Source organism: Homo sapiens, chromosome 22 (genome assembly GCF_000001405.40).
Source record: "Homo sapiens chromosome 22, GRCh38.p14 Primary Assembly".
In the NCBI taxonomy this organism is placed as follows: Eukaryota; Metazoa; Chordata; class Mammalia; order Primates; family Hominidae; genus Homo; species Homo sapiens.
The window spans coordinates 27,795,854-27,818,389 of NC_000022.11; the positions used below are offsets into that span (position 1 = coordinate 27,795,854).

At 55.1% G+C, this 22,536-nt stretch overlaps 1 protein-coding gene across 1 annotated transcript in view, besides 6 other annotated features; it reads right to left on the reverse strand.

Moving 5' to 3' along the window:
* Nucleotides 1-5,903, reverse strand: part of MN1 (MN1 proto-oncogene, transcriptional regulator) — a 53,480-nt gene extending 47,577 nt beyond the window's left edge. Inside the window, exon 1 of the mRNA NM_002430.3 lies at nucleotides 910-5,903. Within this exon, the coding sequence (NP_002421.3) occupies nucleotides 910-4,690 (3,781 nt within the window). The 5' untranslated portion in view covers nucleotides 4,691-5,903. The remainder of the gene's footprint in view (nucleotides 1-909) is intronic.
* Nucleotides 2,877-3,423: an enhancer, noted in NCBI's record as "H3K27ac-H3K4me1 hESC enhancer chr22:28194718-28195264 (GRCh37/hg19 assembly coordinates)". NCBI's record gives its function as "activates a minimal SCP1, AML or CMV promoter by ChIP-STARR-seq in primed H9 embryonic stem cells {active_cell/tissue: H9 hESC(primed)}" and the evidence as "EXISTENCE:reporter gene assay evidence [ECO:0000049][PMID:30033119]".
* Nucleotides 3,424-3,969: an enhancer, noted in NCBI's record as "H3K27ac-H3K4me1 hESC enhancer chr22:28195265-28195810 (GRCh37/hg19 assembly coordinates)". NCBI's record gives its function as "activates a minimal SCP1, AML or CMV promoter by ChIP-STARR-seq in primed H9 embryonic stem cells {active_cell/tissue: H9 hESC(primed)}" and the evidence as "EXISTENCE:reporter gene assay evidence [ECO:0000049][PMID:30033119]".
* Nucleotides 8,312-8,876: an enhancer, noted in NCBI's record as "H3K4me1 hESC enhancer chr22:28200153-28200717 (GRCh37/hg19 assembly coordinates)". NCBI's record gives its function as "activates a minimal SCP1, AML or CMV promoter by ChIP-STARR-seq in naive H9 embryonic stem cells {active_cell/tissue: H9 hESC(naive)}" and the evidence as "EXISTENCE:reporter gene assay evidence [ECO:0000049][PMID:30033119]".
* Nucleotides 8,877-9,440: an enhancer, noted in NCBI's record as "H3K4me1 hESC enhancer chr22:28200718-28201281 (GRCh37/hg19 assembly coordinates)". NCBI's record gives its function as "activates a minimal SCP1, AML or CMV promoter by ChIP-STARR-seq in naive H9 embryonic stem cells {active_cell/tissue: H9 hESC(naive)}" and the evidence as "EXISTENCE:reporter gene assay evidence [ECO:0000049][PMID:30033119]".
* Nucleotides 14,156-14,677: an enhancer, noted in NCBI's record as "NANOG-H3K4me1 hESC enhancer chr22:28205997-28206518 (GRCh37/hg19 assembly coordinates)". NCBI's record gives its function as "activates a minimal SCP1, AML or CMV promoter by ChIP-STARR-seq in primed H9 embryonic stem cells {active_cell/tissue: H9 hESC(primed)}" and the evidence as "EXISTENCE:reporter gene assay evidence [ECO:0000049][PMID:30033119]".
* Nucleotides 14,678-15,199: an enhancer, noted in NCBI's record as "NANOG-H3K4me1 hESC enhancer chr22:28206519-28207040 (GRCh37/hg19 assembly coordinates)". NCBI's record gives its function as "activates a minimal SCP1, AML or CMV promoter by ChIP-STARR-seq in primed H9 embryonic stem cells {active_cell/tissue: H9 hESC(primed)}" and the evidence as "EXISTENCE:reporter gene assay evidence [ECO:0000049][PMID:30033119]".

The window sequence follows — 22,536 nt, forward strand, 5'->3', positions numbered from 1 at the left end:
CATTTACTAACCCCACCCCTCCCACCTTAAAGGCCTCCAGGCCTGGTGGGGAGGGGGTGCTTAGAATGCAAACGAAAGCTGGGACAGGACATCTGTCACCAAAGCCAAGCGAGATATTGACAAACACGGATCCTTTGTGTCTTAAGAGTATATATCCATATCCCCATACACAAATGATGTCCAAGCCGACCCCACCCCAGCACTCCCCCTCCCCAACCCCACCAAATGTCAAGGGGATGCGCCCTGAAAAGGTTCCCTGCCTCCTGCAACCCCCACAGGTCTCCCGTTTTTCAATGAAACTCTGATAGTTAAGAAGAGACAAAATAGCTATTCATTAGGAACAAATGTCAAATTAGGCGTTGCCTCTGAGTGATGCTGCCGACACCAGGGCTGGTAACTTTTTTTTCCTAAAAATGCTGGCACCTAAAAGAACTAGCGCTAGAGGCTGACTAACTAGGAAAAGGTGGGAGGCGTTAACACAACTTCCCAGGTGTCCTGCCAGGGAAGGCGGCACACAGCTGCTAAAAAGTGGAGCCAGCCTCAATGTTGAGGGTGGGGAGGGGTCTTAGTGTGAAAGGGAAGGGGCAATTCAGCTAAAACTGGGGGTGTGGGGGCGGCTGGGCGGGGTACTCTACAAGATTCCCAAAGGGCTGCCATCTAAGTTTTTGCCACCCTGTGGCACTAGAATCTACCTGGTAACATGTGGGGGGCTTGGGGGCAGTGTGTGTGGGGGGGTCTGTCCTCACAGCCCTTGGTGTAAGCAAAGGTGGGATAACCAGCTCCTAGTTGGGGATTAGGAGGGTTTGTGCCCTCCAAACCTCAAAGGACCCCAAAAGGCGAAGGCTAAGTCCTGCCCTGGGGATGGGGCGGGTCACCCGGGAAGTGAGAGGAAAACGAGTGTGCATATACCTTCTTTGCTGTTGGGGTTCTGGGGTTTGGCCTTCTCCCAGGGCGCCAACGTCTTGTCGTCGTCCGCGCTGTCCACCAGGGCCTTGTCAGCGGGCATGTACCAGGCAGCGCTGTGCTCTGCCATCAGCGAGTCCAGGTCAATGGTGCTCATGGCGCTCTTGACCGCCTCGGAGCAGCAGCTGCCCAGCTCGCTGTCGCCATTCTGCGCCCCTGAGGCCCCGACGGCGCACTCACCCTTCTTGCCACCCTTCAGCCCCAGAGGCTGGTCCTCGGAGATGCTGAACTGCTGCCTCTGTAGCTGGATCTGCGCCTGAAGGATCTCCAGGGGGTGGATCTCGTCGGGTGGCGGGGCGCCGCTGCTGCTCGTCGGGGTGCGGACCTGCTCCAGGCCCGGAGTGCCCGGATGGCCCGGGCCCCCACCGCCGCCGTAGCTGTCAGGGGTCGAGGTAGAGTTAGACATGATGCCCAGGCCGAGGGCGGGCGGGGGCGCCTTCGGTCCGTGTTCCCCGGCGCCTACCCCACGGGGAGGGAGTTTGGGCGAGCCGGTCACCAGGGGACTCCTGCTCGCTTTAACTAGTGCCTGGGGGTTGTCAGAGCTGGACGACACCTCGTCCTCATTGGCGTAGCTCGTGCTCACCTCGTCCGAGGCGAACTCACCCACGTTTGGCGAACTACTGTCCGACTTGGCCCCGCCGTCCAGGGACCCAATGAGGTCCGGCTGATCCCCCAGGAGCAACTCAGCCCCCTTCCCCCAGGATGGCGACGTGAGCGCCTTTTCGTGGGGCGTCGGTGCCCCGCGCGTCTCGCCTGCGGAGCTTCCCCCGACGGCTGCGCCTGACGCTTGCTGCTGCCCTGGGCTCACCCCAGGTGCGCCCCCGCTGTCCGGAGCCGCCGAGTACTTGTCAAAGAAGGTGCCAGGGCTCACGTGACCACTGTCCCTTTTTCTGCGACCCCGTCCCCGGCCGCCGCCCCCGGAGACCGGCTTGCCGTCATTCCCCGACGTGGATTCCAGGGTGTAGTTGGGGGAGAGGCTGGTGCCGTCCCCCTGGGCTGGAGGGTTGGGCGGCCCCGAGGCTTTGGAGCCGCTGCTACTGGTCCCGGACGGGCCTCCGGGTCCTGGGGCCCCAGGAGCAGTCCCTCCTGGGAAGTAATCCGAGCCCGGGTTGCCGGCCACTGCCGCGCCGTCGGTCTCGTTCTGGCTCAGTTTCCTCTTGCCCTCTGGCGGGTTCTTCTTGTTGAAGGTCACGTTGAGGTTGGGGGCCCCGAGGCTGGCGATCATGTTCTGGCAAGCGGTGGAGAGCGCAGCCAGGCAGCTCTGGCCGAACAGGTTGTCCTTGGAGCTGGGCTTGTTGAAGGAGCCCAGCGAGAGCGCGCCCAATTTACTGGCCGAGGTGCGCTGGCTGGGCTGGAAATCAGGCTGCGGCGGGTAGGCACCCCCGCCACCGCCGCCACCAGAGCTGCCACCGCCCCCTCCCGCGCTGGGGGGCGAGTTCACGCCTGGACCGCTGTGCGGCGTGGACTGCCGGCCGGCTGCACCAAACGGAAAGCCCGGCTGGCCCCCGAGCGCAGACGTAGCAAAGTCCGGCGGCGGGGGCCGGCGCTCCGAAGCAGCGCTGGGGAGCCCCACGCCCGCCCCGGGCGACTGCAGCTGACCCAGGCCTCCCAGACTGCCCCCGAACTGCAGGCCCGGTGAAGGCAGCGCGGGCACGTGGCCCTCTCCGGGCATCCTCATCGGCTCCTGCAGAGGGCCCCGGAACAGCACCCCCGAGCCACCAGGCGGAGGAGGGGGCGCCAGGCTGGGGTCGTGCGGGCCACAGTCAGCGGGCAGACCCGAGCCGCCCATCCTACGGGGCAGCAGGTCTCCGGGCGGCGGATGCGGACCTGAGAACCACGCGCTCTCTTGCGCCAAGTGCGGCGCCTGCTGCTCGAAGGTGCCCAGACGCCCGGCGCCCGTGCTGCCGCCTTCGCGCTCAAAGTTCGGCTGGGCCAAGCCGCCCACCGGGCCGCCATGCACCAGGCCGCCCTGGCCCACGTCCCCGGGGTGGCCTAGCTGAGCCAGGTTGGGCTGGCGCAGCCGCTGCTGCTGATTCCGCGACGCCATCTGCTTAATCATGAGGGCCGCGTTTTGGCGCTGCTGCTGCTGCTGCTGTTGCTGTTGCTGTTGCTGCTGCTGCTGCTGCTGTTGCTGCTGCTGCTGCTGCTGCTGCTGCTGTTGCAGGGACTGGTGGTCCGGGGCCGGATGCTGCAGGGGCGGCCCCGAAGGGAAGCTGTCGGGCACAGGCGGTGTGAACTCGCCGGGTAGGCCTGGGTAGGCGGAAGGGGAGAGGTGATTATCCAGAGCGCCGTTGTGCATGCTGCCGTTCCACGAAGCGCAGCGGTCCACTCCCGCGCTGCCCGGAAAGTCGAAGCGCGGCCTCTTGGCCACGTTCATGTAGGGGGGCGCGTCGAAATGCTGCAGCCGCTGGTTGGGCGCCTGCTGCGGAGGAGGATGCTGCATGCTGAAAACAGGCTCGGAATAAGGGTGCATGCTCCGGTTCTCCAGCCGGTGGATGGGATACTCGAATTGCGCGTGCTGGCTGGGCAGCATGGGGCCTCCGTCCTGCAGGCCGCCGCTGGGCGTGCCCGCCTCGCCCTGCTGGGGCCGAGGGAGCGCAGGCGGGCACGAATTTTGTCGGACTAGAAGCCCGGGTGGCGGCGGCGGCTGCTGCTGTGGCGGCTGCTGCGGGGGCTGCTGCTGAGGGGGTGGCGGGGCCTGCTGGGGAGGCTGCATTAACGGGTGCCTGGAGCCCACTGAGGGCTCCAGACCCACAGGCATCTTTCTGGCCCCACTGAACCTCTCAAAGAACACACCATGCTGCTGCTGCTGCTGCTGGGGCTGCTGCTGCTGCTGGGGCTGCTGCTGCGGTGGCTGGGCGTGCATTTTGGACAAGCCCACCATGCCCGCAGCTCTGGGCATGGCCGAGGCGCCCGGGAAAGCGCCCCCAGGAACCTGGCGACCCGCTGCATAATGAGGCAGCTGCCCTTCGGAGTCAGAGGGCGAAAACATGTCAAAATGTCCCGAGGGCGCCTCGCCCGGGTAATTGTATTCCAGCGAGTCGACGGCTCCTTGGTTCGTCACCCTCCGTGGCTCCAGACTGTGGGAATCGGAGCCGCTGGAGGACGGCAGGCCGTGGAAGGAGGCGGCTCGGTTAGGGCTCTGGTCCAGCGGCAGGCATGGGGCCGGCACGGCGTGGCTGGAGGCACCTGAACTGTGGAAGTCCGGGAGGTTCCCCGGTCGCTGCGGGCCGAAGCTCTCAGGCCCCTGGCTCTCCGCCATGTGCTCATAGCCCTCGGCGAAGGGCGGCTGGCTGCCCAGGCCTCCGGCTGCGCCGCCGTAGCCGAGCAGGCGACCCCCGTGCAGGCACGAGGCCCCGGGGTCCGGGCCACCGAAGTTGCCCCCAAAGTGGGGGTGATGCTGGTGGGGATGATGACTTCCCGGGTGGCCGTGGTGAGGCTGCTGGCCGCCAAAGAAGCCGTGCACAGGCTGCGCTTGCAGCCCCCCTGCGTGCAACTCCGAGTGGCCGCGCGCGTGGAAGCCGTAGGGCTCCATGTTCATGCCCAAGATCGGGGGTTCGCCCAGCGCGCTCATAGCAGGATCCACAGGGCCAGGGGGCCCCCCAGTGTGGAAAGCCGGGGCCTTAAAGTGGGTGTTCATGCTCAGTCCGGTCTCGTTAAAGTTCCTCTCGCCCTGGCCAGCGTTCCTGCTGTTGACCTGGGGCTCGAATTGGTCCAGCCCAAACATACTTGGCGGGGGGCAGAGGGGGATCAATAGGGCATGACAGCCGGCTCTCCGCGGCGCGCCTCCGGCCAGCTACTCGTTCCAGCCCAGGATTGGGCGCTCCGGGACGCTCAGCACCGCGGGGGCTCAGCGCGCACCTCCACCCCGCCTGATGTGAGGGACGGGGGGCGGGGTATTAGCTCCTCTCCTGAAGCTCCGATTCTGCCCGGGGAGGGCCTCTCACATCTTGCGAGGCCGCGGGGCCTCTAGGAGCCGTGTTGGGGGGCCCATGCCCCGGGCGGTTGTCACAGCCGCGGGTGGGTCTGCGGGGAGGGGACGAAGCCGCGGATGAACGGAGACAAAAAGTTAAGTGGGGGGAATGGGGAGGGAAGGGGGTTGGGAGAGCAGAGCGATCACCTTCTCAAGTCCGATTGGGTCTGCTGGGGAGCCCTCAGGACGCCGCCCGCAGCCTCCCGGAGTCCGTGGCAGAGCTGCTAAGGGCAGGGGAGGGAGACCCTTCAAAGCCGCGGCTGGCGCCGGGCACCGACAGAGCGGTCCCTCCCCCCGCCCCCCGGAGTCCCCGCGCCCCGCAGCCCGAGCCTCCACCGAGCACGATCCGCTCGCACAATCCCCGTAGGCTCCGGGCGAGCGGCTGCTGCTTCTTCAGCGGGTCGGAGGACTGGAGGCTCCGCTCGGCATCGCCGGTGCCGGCCCCCGAGCCGAGGACGCAGAGGGGCTGCGAGGCGGCAGGCGCCGGGGGCTGGAGCCGAGGGTCGGGGAAAGGCGCGGCTCCTCTGCTCGGCAGCGGGTGCGCTGCGTTCGGCGCGCAGCTTCGCGGCCACGTCCGCCGCCTGCCGCTTCTGTTCTCCGCCGTTGGGTGTCTGAGTTCGCCGGAGTCTCCGCGCACCGTTGCAGGCGCGGGAGGGCAGCGAGACGAGGGGTTGGGTCGCTCCAAGGCTCCGGTTCCCTGCCTCCGCGCTGAGGTGCTTCGCGAGTCCCTCTCGGACCTGAGGGAGGGGGGCGTACGCGGGTCGGGGGGCCACGCCGGGCGAGCAGGCTAAGGCGTTCCCGCTGCGCTCTCAGAGCCCGGAATGGGGGGAGGGGGGCGCGGGGGCAGCTCTGGGGGGTCTGCGCACCCCTCTCCCGACTAGCGGGGGGGCTCTGCGTGGGGCGTTCCGAGGGTCTCGGCTCCCCTCTCTGTGTCTGCCTCTCGCCCAGCGCCGGGAGAAGCAGCAACAAGTTTTGCATTTCAGCAATCAATTTCAGCCATTACATTTGCACCAATCAGCGCCGCCCAAGTTCCGGGCTCGGGGCGGGGCTCGCTCTTAAGGTGGTCCGGGGTCCTGGCTGCCGAAGCCCCCGCCACGAACCCGCACTACCCCAGCTCTGGGGTCCCCTGCGCCCGCCTCTCCTCGGGGTCCGGCGTCAGTGCGCTGGGGGCGCGCCCCGGCCTCCGGGCGCATCGAGCTGGAGAGGGTGCAGGCGGAGGAGAATGGCGGGAGCTTGGCTTTGTTCACCCCCTTCCCATTCACACTGTTCCCAACTCCCCACCCCCAACTGGAGCGAGACCCACCGGGTGGGCAGGGGGCGGGGAGGTGGGCGGTGAGCGGTACGGGGCGCTCAGACAATGAGGTCGCCAGGCAAAGACCCTAGACTCGCCACGGAAAGTCGCTAAGTGTCTACTGCACTTCGGCTCCGGGGTGAACACTCCGTTCTCCGCTAGCGGCGCCCAAGTTAGCCGGCCCTGGGATTTTCTTGGAGGGTAAAGCAGACGGGGAACCTCGAAGTTAGGGTTCTCCTCGAGAGACCTGGGCGCTTGCTCACTCCTCCGTCACTAGGGCGTTCACAATTGTTCCCCTTCCCCACTGCCTGGGGTTCCCGGTTCTCACCGGCCGGCGTGGGCTCCAAGGAGTCACAGTCACTCAGCCACTTTATGGGGGAGCACATCGGTTGAGCCCAGTAACCGGAGCGACTTGCGAGGCGGCTGGGAACCCCGAGAAGACACGCACGAAGAGGGCGCACCCGCCGGGCCGCACACCTTGCCCTGGGCCACCCGGTCCAAGACCCAGACCCTCTGCGGGTGCGAAGTTGGCCTCCTTAAGAGATCAATTAAACTGAAGAGGCCGAGGAATGGAATTGGGCTGTGATACTAAAATCAATAGGAGTAATTTAATATCTGCCCTGCTCTTTATGAAATATTTATCCCAATAATCTTAGTTAAAATGTTTAGATCGTCCTGATCCCCACAGAGGCTGAAATCTATCTTGCAATTAGAAGTTGGAAGTTAGAGGTGATGGAGGATAGAGGTGTTTATTCTGTGCGCCTGTGTGCGTGTGCTCGCGCCTGCGTGCGTGTGTTTGTGCATGCGTGTGTGTGTGTGTGTGTGTTCCTCCCTAAAGTGTGTGTAGGGAAGGAGGGGGGAGAAGGCCTTTAATTTTCCTTGCCATAAAATAGCACGAGGCGATTTTGCTAGCAGATTCGCATTCTTAGGAGAAGGGCGAAAAAAGAACTTTCTTTGAAGTGCCCCTGATATCGCTATTAAATCTAAATAAAATTAAGCGTGGTGTATGAAAATGCCTTTCCCCCCCCACAAAAGAAAGTGTTTATCGCCCGAGTCTGTCTAGCGTTTGCTAAATTACGCATGAAATCTGAAATGAAATAAACGTTATAATAAAACCAACCCCTGAGCCCTTTTTATTTAAAAACCTTAGATTAAGCACTCCACCGTCGCGGGCAGGAGTTAAAAAGTTACCATGTCGTACGCGCAGATTCATTGCTCCCCTGAGTTGCGGCTAGGAAGGCAGTGCTAAGTATGCCAGAACCGACATGCCGGGGGTGGGGGGAAATGGGCTCAACTTTGGGGTAGCGGCAGAATTCCTAAGAAATTGCCCCCCGCCCAAAAAAAATTTTAATTAAAAATAAACAAACAAGAAAAAACAACAACTTTAAAACTCAGCCAGAGCAAGCTCAGATCCAAGACCTTTCCCGGGGCCTTCCTGTTGTGGAAGTTTACAGACATATATATTTTTTCTTTTTTGAAATTAAAAATGAAAATTACCCCCATCAAAAATGGGGTCCATAAATAAGCATAGGGAATAAGTATTTGTACAGGGCGGTGGAGTTTTTAAAGGATTTTTCTGCAGGATCAGGTTGTTGGTCTGTGATTAAATATTGATTTTGTGTAATTAGTTTTCATGTGAACTATCCTCTTGCTGATAGCTTAGAGGTTTCAGAACTAGAAAAGAAATGGAATTGGACATGGAAATTATTACTTAGCAAAGTGACAGGGAAGTGAGAGCCAGAGAAAAGACTGAGGCTTTGCTGATTTAGGCACAAAGAAATAAAGGCTTGGGTAGGCCCTCCAGTGACACCCCCCCCCCGCCCGCCCCGGGGCCTAGGACCCTGGGGCTCTGGGGCTCCCGAGACAGAGCAGGGGGGATCTTGAACCTCCTGGACAAAAAGCGGGAGGCAATAGGAAAACCTGGTTGTGAGGAAGAGGCCCCCACATGGGCAAAGGCCTGGGCATAGTCCAAGATACTGGGTCACACACTCAGTCTGCTCTCGACTATGGGTGTCTCCTGAGGCACCTATGAGCCGCCTGTGTTTCTGTGTCTGGAGGAAATAGGGAAAAGTGGGGACCTGTCTGGAGCCTGGGGGTGGGCCAGGAGAGTGGGAAGAATGGCTCACAGGCCTGTCGTCTGGGGAGACCCGGATGGGGGCGTCTGCAGAGCTGAGGCATGACTTCACACAGGGCTGGGTGGGGGTCTCCAGCACACCTGGGCAGGTTTCCTGTGGAATAATTCCGTGTGCTCCAGGGAGGGGGGGTGTGGGAGTATTTTTCTGGGGCTGTTTCCAAGAGTTAGCTCCACAAGGTGTGTGAGTGGCTGAAAGAAGGGAGTGTTTGGACCTGGTGAAGTTTCTGTTCAGGATGTGTGTCTCGGTCACCTTTCTTTAACACTGCAAATGTTGTGCGGGTGTGTGGCACACGTCTGCATTTTGTGCCTTTGCTTGTATGCGGGTGGCGGGGCATCTGCGTGTGTTTCTGTCCATGCCTGCGTCGGCGTTCGTGCATGGATCTTTGGGGGTCTTGGTGCATGTTCTCTGTCTGTCCCCCAACCCCGCATTTCTGTGTGTGTGAGCCACTGCGTTTGTACCTGTGTGTGTGCAGCTGCCTCACCCCTTGCATGCCTGTATCTCTGCTCCAGTGTATCTGTTTTTTCTGCGAGTGTGAGGGCGTGTGCCTCACAGCCTGTGCCCATCTGTGCCCGTGTATGCGCCGGCGTGTGCGCCTCCACAGTGTGGGCACCCCTGCGTGTGCCTGTGTGTGCTTTCGCCCGCAAGGTCCCGCAGTGTTTCTTTGGAACAGACACATTGCCCCCTAGCGCTCAGATGAATTCAAAGTCCCCGCAGGCGCAGAGCCGGGAGCAGTAGGAGCCTCAGGGCCCTCCACCCGCCAGGGCTTTCTCCATCCTCCTCCCTCCCCAGGTCCCCCTCCGGGGGCACTGAGTGTGCTGGCAACGGCCAGAGGAGGCCCTCTGGGCAAGGGAAGGAGGAGACACAGCTGGATGGGGCCCCAGAGCTGGAGAGGGATGTTTTAAGCTGGTGACAAGTGGGGAACTGCCTGGGATGGCCCCCAGAACACTCACCGCTGATATGGAGAGCCTGGCACACCTCAGCTAGCCCAGGAGCCTCAGCCTGCAGCCCACCAGTGAACTCTCACTCTATAGAAACACAAAGCAACCCACACCCAATACCCGTCACCCAGGAGACACACAGCCTTCGTGCCTGCCCCGTTGGCCCCCAACACCACCAGCACAGACACATGTACACACTTACCTCCATAGTGTGTGGCTGTGTCAGCAAACACATGCACTCACATGCACACACAGAGCAATATCAGCATACACGTACTCACACACACACACACACCCCTCCATAGTGTGTGGATGTCAGCACACACACACATATACACCTCCATAGCGTGTGGCTATGTTAGCACATACACACCCCGCCATAGTATGTGGATGTCAGCATCCATGTACTTATACACACACTCACACATACATCTCCATAGTGTGTAGCTGTCAACACACTCACACACACGTACACCTCCATAGTGTGTGGATGTCAGCACACACACACACACACACACATACACCTCCATAGTGTGTGGCTATGTCAGCACACACACACACACACACATATACACCTCCATAGCGTGTGGCTATGTCAGCACACACACACACACACACCCCTCCATAGTGTGTGGATGTCAGCATCCATGTACTCACACACACACCCCTCCATAGTGTGGGGATGTCAGCACACACACACACACACACACACACACACCCCTCCCCATAGTGGATGAGTCTGCCCACTGGCTTCAGGACATGGAAGGCTCCTTCCGTGTCAGGCTGGTGCTTTGTGCATTATACCCATGGTCATCCTCACGGCAACGCCATGAAGTGGGGACTCAGAACCCATTCTACAGATGAGGAGATCGAGAAAGTCAAGGGACTTTCCCAAAGTCAAACAATGGCAGAGCTGAGATTCTAATCTCCCTGACACTGACGCCTGTCTCTTAACCACGGCCTGCTCTACCTGAATGTGATCGTTCAGGTAAAACACTTAGCACAGTGCAGGGGACATGGTAAGTGCCAACAAGTGTTAGCAACCTTTATTACCACTGTGATTATTACCAAATATTATCAAAATTATGATTCATATTATTCTCAGTGTCTCCCTCACCCACACAAACATGAGAAACTAGTACAAACACACACACACACACACACACACACACACACACAGCAATATCCTTAGCCTTCTTCCTCTAACCCCCGTATCCTTTGGAGCTTGGAAACTCACCGGGACCACAGAAGCTCAAGCCCTTCTTGCAGGCAGTGTTCCTAGAAGGACTGGAGGGGAAGCTACTTCTCCGGACACCTGGGGTCAGCAGAACAGGCCTCTCCAGTGGGCCAGTGGTGGAAAGGTCAAGGATTTGGGCATTACAGATTCAGATTCAAGTCTTGTCTTCACCACTTATGAGCTGCGTGACCTTAAGCAAAATACTTTTTTCTCTGAACCTCAGTTTCCCCTGTTGGAAAGAGACATGAAGGCCAGTTGATATACAGCATAGGGACTGGAGACAATGCTTTCAGAGTGGAACAGAGCACGGCACAGGACAGACATTCTTTAAATGGCAGCCCCTCTTATGACCATGATTATTTCTTCTGTGTTTGGATGCGGGGAGATGCAGAACAGAACCACAATCCCAGGAAGCCCCAGCTATGACCAGGACAGAGGAGAGGGCAGATGACTAGAGTCAGAAGATATGAGACCCTCATGGAGCTATAGTCTGCTGTTTGCCAAGCAACAGCACCTCGTCTATCTTGCTACACACAATGTCTGTCTTTTGGGGTCTCTCCTCGATCTGTTCATTATGTACATACCAAATGCTTATAATATGCCAGGGCCTGGTCTAGGAACTCAAGAAAAAATGTAGCAGACACAGTCCCAGCCTTCAAGCCAGATCAAAGGAAACCTACTATTTGATGTGAAAGGACTACATTACACACCTGTAAGGGACAAAATAACTGCCGGGAAGGAGGGATAATAGAGAAGGATTCCCAATGTTGGGTTTTGAAAGTAGAATAGGAGTTTGACAACCAAATAGGGTCACAGGACTTTCCAAGAGGAGTAATCATGTTAGACGGGGTGCAGGAAGGCTCAAGCAGAAGTGAGTTTAGAGCAGTATGAGGAAGGGGCAGGATCAGGAGGACCTCAAGGCCGGGTGGGAAAGTTTGGACATTGTTCTGGGGAGCTATGGAAAGGTTTAAAGCAAGACCAAGAGACATTGTCCAAGGTGAGTTTTAAATATCCCTGGAGACCTGAGGGTCTCCCTTTCTTTGCCTTCACTGTGGCCCCAGGAGCCATCTTTACCTAGTTTCCTTGGAAACAGGGCTTGGGATAGGGGAAGTCTCAGGTCTGTACCCAAGCAGCCAGCACAGAGCAGGACCGTGCCTGCTGCCTCTTCCATCTCAGGCCCGTGCACAGACAAGAGTCCCCTCTTGGTTCGGTGATTATAGATGCTGCTCTCTGCGGAGCAGGACCTCCTGCCCATTTCTCAGTTGGGGTAGGTTTAGGGGCATTTCTAAATGAGAGCCAGATCTCCTAGGTTCAAAGCCCAGTATCACCACCCCCGACCTGTCTCCAAGCGTGTGAGGGAGGCAAAAGTGTGAGAAAGCACCCAGTCCCCACTATATAACTTATATAAATTATATATGTACAGTATATTTTATAGTGTTAGTATATTACATAGCTACCCTGTGAGGTAGGTTCTATTCTTTTTCCATTTTATAAAAGTGAAAACTGAGGCACAGAGAGGTGAAGGAGCTTGCCCTAGGTCACACGGCAAGTAAGAGTCAGAGCCAGAACTCAAACCAGGCCTAGCCTAACTTCACCATTAGCCCACGTATCAGTCACAAAGATTCTCCCTTTCTCAAACCCAGGGCTACCATCTGGAAAGAGGACGCCTTGCCCACAGTTCTGATGCCTGGCCCTGGGTCTAAGCCCCTGGAGAGTCCCAGCCCTAAAGAGGGGTCCCTGCTTTCTCTATTGTTTTACTTCGCTGCTCCCCTGAGGTCTCTGGGGTCTGATCACAAGGTTTCAGTGTAGGGAACTACTGAATTTCCCCTCAAAAGATACCTGGAACAAGAAGTATCCCCAGCGCACTTGGCCTGGCAGGGCTACCTGTGCAGGAGAAGAGCTGTGGCCACTATAGGGCATTTCAACTTCCCAGGTACCAGACACATGGGGCTGAGGCTCCATAGCTTGCCGCTAGTCTCCAGATCTCCTGGACAACCCAACCTTCCCGGGGAATGCTCCATTTTCATGAGTCTAGCTCAGAGCCAGAGCCAGTATCTCAACCGCACAGCAACACGCTTAGCTTGTGACATGGAGGATCAGAAATGAGACCCTTGCTTGAAAGCATGAATTGGAACGATGCTACAAACCTCCCCTTTTCTGAACACAGAAACTCTCTTAGACCTCACTGAATCCAGAAAGCAACCCTAGGAAGTAAGCATCTCCATTATCCTCTGGAATGGAGGCTCTGATTGGTACAAGAACGACGTGTTCAAAGCCACATCGCGACTGCATGGCAGGGCCTGGTTTCATACTCGGATCCGTAGGGTCCTAGAGCCATCCTGCCAATGTCTCCATCTACGTGGGTTTCTCTTCCCCAGACGGCATCCAGCTATGAGCTTCTATTTTCCATTCTCTAAGTGAAGTATGCTGAACCCAGGCCCTGCTCCCAAAATAACTCAAACCAGCCCCACAGGCTGGAACGGAGGCCCCAGCGACTCCAGGGCCCAGTTAGCCTCCCCTTGAAAAAGTCCCTATTCAGCAAAAAAAGGAGGAATAAAAAAAACAGCCATCACTCATAAAGCGTCACATACCACACAATTAGTCAGAAAATGCAAAAGTTCAGCAGGTTATTCAACAAACCTATTTAGCATGCTCACAAGCCCCTCCCTCCCCACCTCTTCATTTTCCCTCCCTGCGGCCATCAGCAATGTGGGCTCATTACCACCGAGAACCTCGCTGGAAAGCCAGCCTCATAAACAGAACAAAATAAGCATCTATGATGGGAAAACTTTGGATGGACCAGTCATTAGCCGACACCTTTCAAATCACACTGTCGATTGTCACCTGCATCTCCTGTCCCCCACCCTCTCAGACACCCATGGCTGCATGCCCTGTCTCCACTGAGGTAAAGAGCAAGTGCTGGAAGGAACCACCCCCAATGCCAAGACCCAGGCTGAGCTTATCTTCCAGGAAGGAGCCCTGTGTGCAGCTGGAGTCTGCAGCCAAGCTCCTCCATGTGTCAGCAGCGACGGCAGCCGGCATGTGGCAGGTGCGTCCCTGTTTGCTCTACAGCGCCCCATTCCTCTTCACTTTCCTTACAGAGGGGTGTGCTGGGGTGGTTTAGAGCATCACACAGATCTGAGATCTGTGACCTTGAGTGCATCATTCCCTTCTCTGTGCCTCAGTTTCCTCATCTGTAAAATCAGTTTCCAGCAGTACCTACAGCAAAGGACATACGTGAAGACGGAATGAAATGGTGTAGGTTAAGCACAGCAGTCACACGCCATCCCTGGGAGGCGAGTAGAGGCACCTCCTCTCTAAGGCTCCCTGGAAGTGTGCTCCAGTGTAAGAAATGGGGGGTGCCTTGCTGACATCCTCCAGAGATCCAGGATAGGAGGAAAGCAGCCTCCCATCTCTGAGCACTCACCATAAGATGGACTCCTTTCCATAGGTTATTTCTAATTCTCGCACCAATTGTACTGCAGGAATAGATGTGTGCCCATTTTATGGACGGGAACCTAGAGGCAGGACACCACTTTGAGAAGGAGCTTGGGGAGAGTTCCTCCAAAAGAAGATCCCACACTTATTGCCCAAAGGGCTCAGGAAGGAAACGAACGGAACCCCCAGGGAACCCTCAGACACCCCACCTCCCACCCCCACCATCAGTCACACTGTCTAAGGGATTGTAAAGTGGACGACAATGGGGCTGATGGGCTTTGAATGGCCCTTCCCACCCAACTAGGAAACAGAGCCCAGAGGCAGTGAGTAATGTGCTTATTTGATCAGATTCTTGGAAACGTTCACAAATCATCACCATTCGCCCTGTGACAGTGTTACCAGCTCTTCCTTTAATTGTTGTTGTGTGCATAGCAGGAAGGCAGTGCAGTCTGGAGGTGAACAGGGTCGGCCTCAGGCTCGACTGCACATAGTCCCTTTACCTCCTTGAGCCTCAGTTTCCCCATTTGTCAAATGAGGAGGATAATCTTCTCTGGAGTTGTCAGGGGGGTGAACAAGCACAGAGCATTTAGCACGTAGTTAACACTCAATAAACGGCAGCTACTACATGGAGCCAGGCCCCTGCAGGGCGGGTGGCTCCCTGCGGGGCAGCCCTGAATTGATGAGGTGCCTGCTCTCTTTGGTCTCCCCTCAGACCCTGGCTGCATGGTCCTGAGACTCCTGGCTCCGGTCCGGTCCGGAGGCCTTGTCACGCCAAGGCCCTGCCAGCAAGGAAAAGGAGCGCTGAGTAGAGAGAGGACTCACCCCGGGTTCTCTGGGCCAGGCCCCAGCTGTGCAGGCCCCACCCTCTCTTGGCCACCTCCACCCCAGCTGAGGCTTAGCCGCCAGCCTCCGACATTTGCCACCCGGCCACCTGGTGAGCTCCAGGCAGGCTGCAGGCGCCAGCTGCCCCCACCTCTGGCTCCGATGAGCTCATCTGGGTTTCCAAACTTCCAAAGCGGCCAGGAATGTTTGCTCAAATGTTCCGAGCCCAGAGAGCGTTAAGAGCAAACCAGTGCCCTCCGCCCCCCTTCCCTGAGCAGAAAGCAATCTGCTATAACTCAGACAGGCCGGCCTCACCAAGCCCAGGAGATGGATGCAGCGTTTTGGAATCTATATCACCCAAAAGGAAAATGCCTCTTAAATCACAGGGAGCTGGGAGAGAGCGGGAGCAGGAGGCACCGGGACCCAGTGATGTTCCAGAGGTCAGGCCTGGAGGAGGGGAGTATCACCAGGCATGGAGTCACCCTGGTCATCAGTGTGTCTGCTGCACCTTCTTGGCTCAGGTGGAGAGAGGGAGGCCTGGGGACGCTCCCCTAACTTGAATGCTTGCTGGGTGTGCACACACACGTACATGCACTCATGCACACCTGTGTCCACATGCACACACACATGCACAAAGTGCCCACACTGATTCAGCCCACTCCCAGGTCTGTTGAAATCTCTGCCCATTTTATCCCTCCCTTCCTGGCCCTGGCCACCGCTCTCCAGACCTGGGCAGCAGCTGGGCTCTAAACCTGATAAAGTCAGGTCACAGACAGCCCTTCACTCATATCCTTAGAACATTCAGTGGATCTATCTTTTGAGAATAAAGATCAAATTCCTCACTGCAGTGTGCAAGGCCCTGCATGCCCAGCCCGGGTGACCTTGCCATGCCTGGCCCAGTCCCTCCACCAGAGCTGCACTGGCCCCTACTGTGCCCTTCTCACCTTCTCCCATCACAGGCCCTGGCAGGGGTTGTGCCCATGGCTGGAGGGCTTTTTGCTCAGTGAAGGCACAGCCACACCTCAGCTCAGCCGCCACATCCTCAGGGAAATGCCCCCCGCCGCCCCCGGCAACTCCTACCAGATAATCCCGGCACTGGAATGCTCTCTTACCCCCAAGGTCTGGGTAGCGCAACATCCAGCAGTGTTATCTTCTGGGATCCTTAATGAATCTCAGTCCACCCCACTCCATCAGGAGCACCCAACCAGCAGGGGTTCTTCCTGGTTTTGGCCACTTCTGTTTGCATTTCATTCATTTTCCGAATGAAGGAGTGAAGGGCCCTTGCAGTCCAGTCTTATGAACTCCTATTCATCCTGCAAGGCCCTACTTGGTACTTTTCAAACTGCAGATTGTGACCAATTTATAGATTAAAAAGCCATTTAGGGAGTGTGGTATACACATACAATGGAATACTCATCAGCCACAAAAAGAAATGAAATTCTAGACAGGCACAGTCTTGTAATCCCAGCACTTTGGGAGGCTGAGGCAGGAGGATCGCTTAAGCCCAGATATTTGAGACCAGCCTGGGCAACATAGGGAGACCCTGTCTCTACAAAAGAATTAAAAATATAGCCAGACATGGTAGCACATGCCTGTGGTCCCAGCTACTCAGGAGGCTGAGGTGGGAGGATGTCTCAAGCCCAGGGAGTTGAGGCTGCAGTAGCTATGATCATATCACTGAACTCCAGCCTGGGTAACAGAGCAATACCCTGTCTCAAAAAAAAGAAAAAAGAAAAAAAGAAAGAAATGAAATTCTGACTCATGCTACAACATGGATGAACATTGAAGACATTATGCCAAATGAAATAATCCAGGCCAGGCACGGTGGCTCATGCCTGTAATCCTAGCACTTTGGGAGGCTGAGGTGGGTGGATCACCTAAGGTTGGGACTTCGAGACCAGCGTGACCAACATGGAGAAACCCCATCTCTACTAAAAATACAAAATTAGCTGGGCGTGGTGGTGCGTACCTGTAATCCCAGCTACTCAGGAGGCTGAGGCAGGAGAATCACTTGAACACAGGAGGCAGAGGTTGTGGTGAGCCGAGATCGCACCATTGCACTCCAGCCTGGGCCACAAGAGTGAAACTCCATCTAAAAAAAGAAAGAAAGAAAGAAAGAATCCAGACACAAAAAGACAGTGGGTGATTCCACTAACGTGAAGTAACTAGAAGAAGACTCATAGAAACAGAAAGTAGAATTAAAGTTTACCAGGGGACGGGGTATCGCGGAATAGGGAGTTAGTGTTTCATGGGTGCAGTTTCTGTTTGGGATGATGAAAAAGTTCTGTGGATGAATAGCAGTAATGGCTACACAACAATGTGGTGGTACTTAATGCTACTGTACTGAGCACTTAAAGATGGGTAAAGTGATACATTTTATGTTATGTATATTTTACCACAATAAAAACAAAACGTAAGCTATACAAGTAAGTACACCTTATATTACAACAATTATCTAGTGAAACTTTTGTTTCATTATGTGTGAATTACTGCATTTGTGAAAAATATATTTCCAACTTCTTTGAATCAAGACCCACTAATTTTTTTTTTTTTTTAAGACGGAGTCTCGCTCTGTTGTCCAGGCTGGAGGACACTGGTGCAATCCTGGCTCACTGCACCCTCTGCTGCCTGGGCTCAAGTGATTCTCCTGCCTCAGCCTCCCAAGTAGCTGGGATTACAGGCACCTGCCACCACATCCAGCTAATTTTTGTATTTTTAGTAGAGACGGGGTTTTGCCATGTTGGCCACACTGGTCTCAAATTCCTGACCTCAGGTGATCTGCCCGCCTTGGCCTCCCAAAGTGCTGGGATTATAAGCGTGAGCCACCACACACAGCCCAAGACCCACTAATTCTTTTTTTTTTTTTTTTTTGAGATGGAGCCTCACCCTGTTGCCCAGGCTGGAGTGCAATGGCACTATCTCGGCTCACTGCAACCTCCACCTCCTGGGTTCACACAATTCTCCTGCCTCAGCTTTCCGAGTAGCTGGGATTACAGGTGTGCATCACCATGCCCGGCTAAGTTTTTGTATCTTTAGTAGAGACAGGGTTTCACCATGTTGGCCACGCTGGTCTCGAACTCCTGACTTCGTGATCCACCCACCTCAGCCTCCCAAAGTGCTGGGATTACAGGCGTGAGCCACCGCGCCCAGCCTAAGGCCCACTAATTCTTAAAAACACTGTGCTCAGGAGTCACGGTGCCTCAGAAGCCTGATGACCTCGGGCAGGGTGACATCCTCTCCTCTCTGCACCCAGGCCCCTTCGTGCTGCTGACTTATAATGCACCGCAAGCTTCTCCTTGTAGTCTAACCTCACGCTTACCTGTTTATTGCCAAAACTGGACTACAAGCTCACCAGGGGCAGGGGCTGTGTCTCATTTTTCTTTGTGCTCCCAAGGTGCCAGGCTCAGTGCCTGACATATAGTAAGTACTCAGTATTTTCCAGAAATGATCAAGATGCAGATGAAGTCCAGCGGTCCCAGATTTGGATTCACCCTGATTTCAAGCCCCAGCTATGTGAGCTGGGGCAGGTCACTTCTCCTCTCAGGGCCTCCATTTCCTTTAATAAGAACAGTAGGCCAGGTGCAGTGGCTCACACCTGTAATCCCAGCACTTTGGGAGGCCGAGGCGGGTGGATCACGAGGTCAGGAGATCGAGACCAGCCAGGCTAACACGGTGAAACCCTGTCTCTACTAAAAATATAAAAAATTAGCTGGGCGTGGTGGTGGGCACCTGTAGTCCCAGCTACTCGGGAGGCTGACACAGGAGAATGGCATGAACCCAGGAGGCGGAGGTTGCAGTGAGCCGAGATCACACCACTGCACTCCAGCCTGGGTGACAGAGTGAGACTCTGTCTCAAAATAATAATAATAACAGTAATATTTGGCACAGTGCCATCGTGCACGCCTGTAATCCCAGTACTTTGGGAGGCTAAGGCGGGCAGATCACTTGAGGTCAGGAGTTCAAAACCAGCCTGGCCAACATGGTGAAACCTTATCTCTGCTAAAAATACAAAAATTAGCCCGGCGTGGTGGCAGGTGCCTGTAATCCCAGCTACTCAGGAAGCTGAGGCACAAGAATCGCTTGAACCCAGGAGGCAGAGGTTATAGTGAGCTGAGATTGTACCACTGCACTCCAGCCTGGGCAACAGAGCAAGACTCTATCTCAGAAAAAAATAAAATAAAATAAACACACACACACACACACACACACACACACACACACAATAATATTAACCATAGTCATTTATTAAGCACTGTCTATATGCCAGGCTAAGTGCTTTATAGATATTGACTAATCCATGCAATAAATGTCTTGAGCACCTACTATGTGCTGGGCAGTAATTTTCATAAAATTGTTGCCTCAATTATAAAAACTATTTACTGAGCACTTACTATGTGCCAGGCACAGTGAAACCCGTGGAAATTCAAAGGTGAGCAGGACAGTGGGTCCTGTATCTTGATCTTTACGGATCTTTCTCTTCTTGAATCCTCACAGCACCCATTTTATAGACAGGAAGACTGAGGCCCGAAAGTTCTGTCTGACTCTGAGCCTGGCCTCTTTGCTGCCTCCCGTTGTCCTGTGAGGCTGTGTGGTCACAGCACCCAGGACTTGAGAGGAGTGAAGTTCTTCCTCACCCCGCAAAGGCTTCATGAGCCCTACTGTGTGCCAGGCCAGCCCTGCTCAGTCTGGGGCGATAAACACAGGGCAGATTCTGAAAGCCTGTGTGAGGGAAGTTCTAGGCCTGCAGGAGCTGAGAGGAGACCCTGGAGAGGAAGGGAGTCAGGGCCAGCTTCCTCGAGGAGGTGACACCCCAATAGAGTTGCAGGAGAAGCAGGGAAGGCATTCTAGGCAGTGGAACAGCATGCCAACAGGGAAGAGCCCCAGATGGCTCCTGGTTTCCTGTTTGGCAGGCTGGGATGGGAGAACTGGTCCTCACTCTAGTTTGCATGGAAGAAAAAGGTCATACATGACCTAGATACACTCACTGGCCAAGAGGCAGGAAGATGCAGAGAAGAGGCAGGTGTGGGGGATGGGTGCAGGTTGGAGAAGGGCAGCAAACCCAGTGGAGTTGGAGGGGAGGCAGGAGCACACAGCCCTGCATGGCCCCAGGCAACCCAGCACCTGCATTCACAACACCCCCTGAAGGAAAGAACCAGAAGGATCCCTGCCAGCCCTTCCTCCCCTTGGGAGGGGAAGGTCTCACACAGCCCTAACTACACATCCAGACCACCCCTGGGCTAAGCATGAAGTGACTTCCCAGGAACCATGCAAACTGGGTTCTAGTAAGCCCTTGCCATTGGGGAAATTGAGGCTCCCAGAGAGGAAGAGCTAAGGTTAGGACTGCTGCAAATGACAATTTATTTCAACAGACTTTAACTGAGCACCTACTATGTGCCAGGCACCAGGAATATGATAATGGGTTAAAGCAGGCGTGGTCTCAGCCTCCTATGGACTCACAGTCCAGAGGAGACAGGTATGAACGTGACATGCTCACCACCAGTATAAAATGACAAAGAGATCAAGCCCCTAAGGTCCTTAAAGGGAAAAAGACAGTAAGTGCCTTCAATGAAAGAGTCTGACTAAAACTAGGGCACTGGGGTGAACAAATAGAAATTAACTAAGGGAAAAAACAGAAAAACAGAGAAGTGGTGTTAAAGGCAGAGAATGGCATGCAAAGGTCCTGAGGCAGAAAGGAGTGTGGAAAGTTCAGGAGCTGAGGGCAATCAGAGAAGCTCAGGGTGGTGGCAGGGCCAGGTTTTCAGGACTTGTTGACCAAAGGAAGCCTCTGAAGATTAAGGAGAAGTGACCTCCGTTCATTCATCCATCCATTCAGTAAATACGCAGGTAGCATCTACTGTGGGCCCTGCTTTGCTTAGCTCAGTTCTAGGCTCTGGAGAGACATCAGTGAATGGAATTGACAAGGCCCCACCCCTCCCGGAGCTAACCCTCTCAAGAGCGGATTGCGATATTTCATACATCCTGCTTTTCCTCTCTCCCTCCTTTCTTTCTTTCTTTCTTCCTTCCTCCTTTCCCTCCTTCCTTCCTTCCTTTCTTTTTCTTTCTCCTCTTTTCCTTCCCTTCCTTCCCTTCCTTCCTTCTTTCCCTCCCTCCTCCCTCTTCTGATCCTTTTTTCTTTCCTTTCCTCCTTCCTTCCTCTCTCTTTCCCTCCTTCCCTCCCTTCCTCCCTCCTTTTTTCCCTTCTTCCTTTCTTCCTTTTCTCTTTCTCCCCCTTTTCCTTCCCTTCCCTCCCTCCCTTCCTTCCCTCTCTTTCTTCCTTCTCTTCCTTCTCTTCCTCACTTCCTCCCTCCCTCCTTCCTTCCTTCTTTTCTCTAAGCCATTCTCTTTCCATCAGTCTCAACACTATGTCACATAGAAAAAAATCATCTTTGAGCAGCTGAAACAGGACGGGTAGTGACCTCCTGCTTGGTGGCTTAAAACAACAAAACTTTATTTTCTCAGTCCTGGAGACCAGACTTCTGCAATCAAGGTGGGAGCAGAAGCTTGCTCTCTCCTGGGCTCTAGGGGAGAGCTTTTCCGCACCTCTTCCAGCTTCTGGTGGCTCCCAGTAACCTTTGACTTTCCTGAACTTGTGGAGGCATCCTTCCAATCCCTGCCTTTGTCTTCATGTGGTGTCCTCCTGTGTGTCCCTGTATTCAAATCTTCCTCTTCTTCTAAGGGCGCCAGTCATATTGGATTTATGTCCCACCCTAATCCAATATGACCACATTTTAATGTGATTGCATCTATAAAGGCTCTATTATCAAAAAAGGGTCGCATTCACAGGGTCCAAGTGGATGTGAGTTTTCAGGGTAAACTAGTCAACTCAGCACACCTTGATTCTTTTTCTTTTCTTTCTTTTTTTTTTCCTGAGATGGAGTCTCGCTCTGTCACCCAGGCTGGAGTGCAGTGGCACGATCTTGGCTCACTGCAACCTCTGCCTCCTGGGTTCAACCAATTCTCTTGCCTCAGCCTCCCCAGTTGTTGGGATTACAGGCATGTACCACCTCTTCTTTACCAAAAATAAAAATTAGCCAGGCACAGTGGTGCACCTGTAACAATCCCCGCTACTCAAGAGGCTGAGGTGGGAGGATCACTTGAGCCCAGGAGTTTGAGACCAGCCTAAGCAACATGGTGAGACTTCATGTCTACAAAAAAAAATTTTTTTAATAAAAAAATATATATCGTGGCTGGGGCCAGCACTTTGGGAGGCCGAGGCAGGCAGATCACCTGAGGTCAGGGGTTCATGACCAGCCTGGCCAACATGGTGAAACCCTGTCTCTACTGAAAATGCAAAAAAAAATTAGCCAGGCATGGTGGCAGGCGCCTGTAATCCCAGCTACTCAGGAGGCTAAGGCAGGAGAATTGCTTGAACCCAAGAGGCGGAGGTTGCAGTGAGCCAAGATGACGCCACTGCACTCAGCCTAGTCTACAGAGCGAGACTCTGTCTCAAAAAAAAAAAAAAAATATATATATATATATATCTAGGTGTGGTGGTATGCACCCATGCTCCCAGCTCCTCAGCTACTCAGGAGGCTTAGATGGGAGGATCACTTGAGCCCAGGAGGCTGAGGCTGCAGTGAGCTATGATTATGCCACGGCACTCCAGCAGAGACCCTGTCTAAAAAAAAAAAAATCCACATGCAATTATAGTTTTGCCCGAAGAAGATGAGGTCCAGCTCTGGGTGGTGACAATCATATTTCTATAGTATGTGGCATGGGTTGAAAGAACAAGCTGAGAC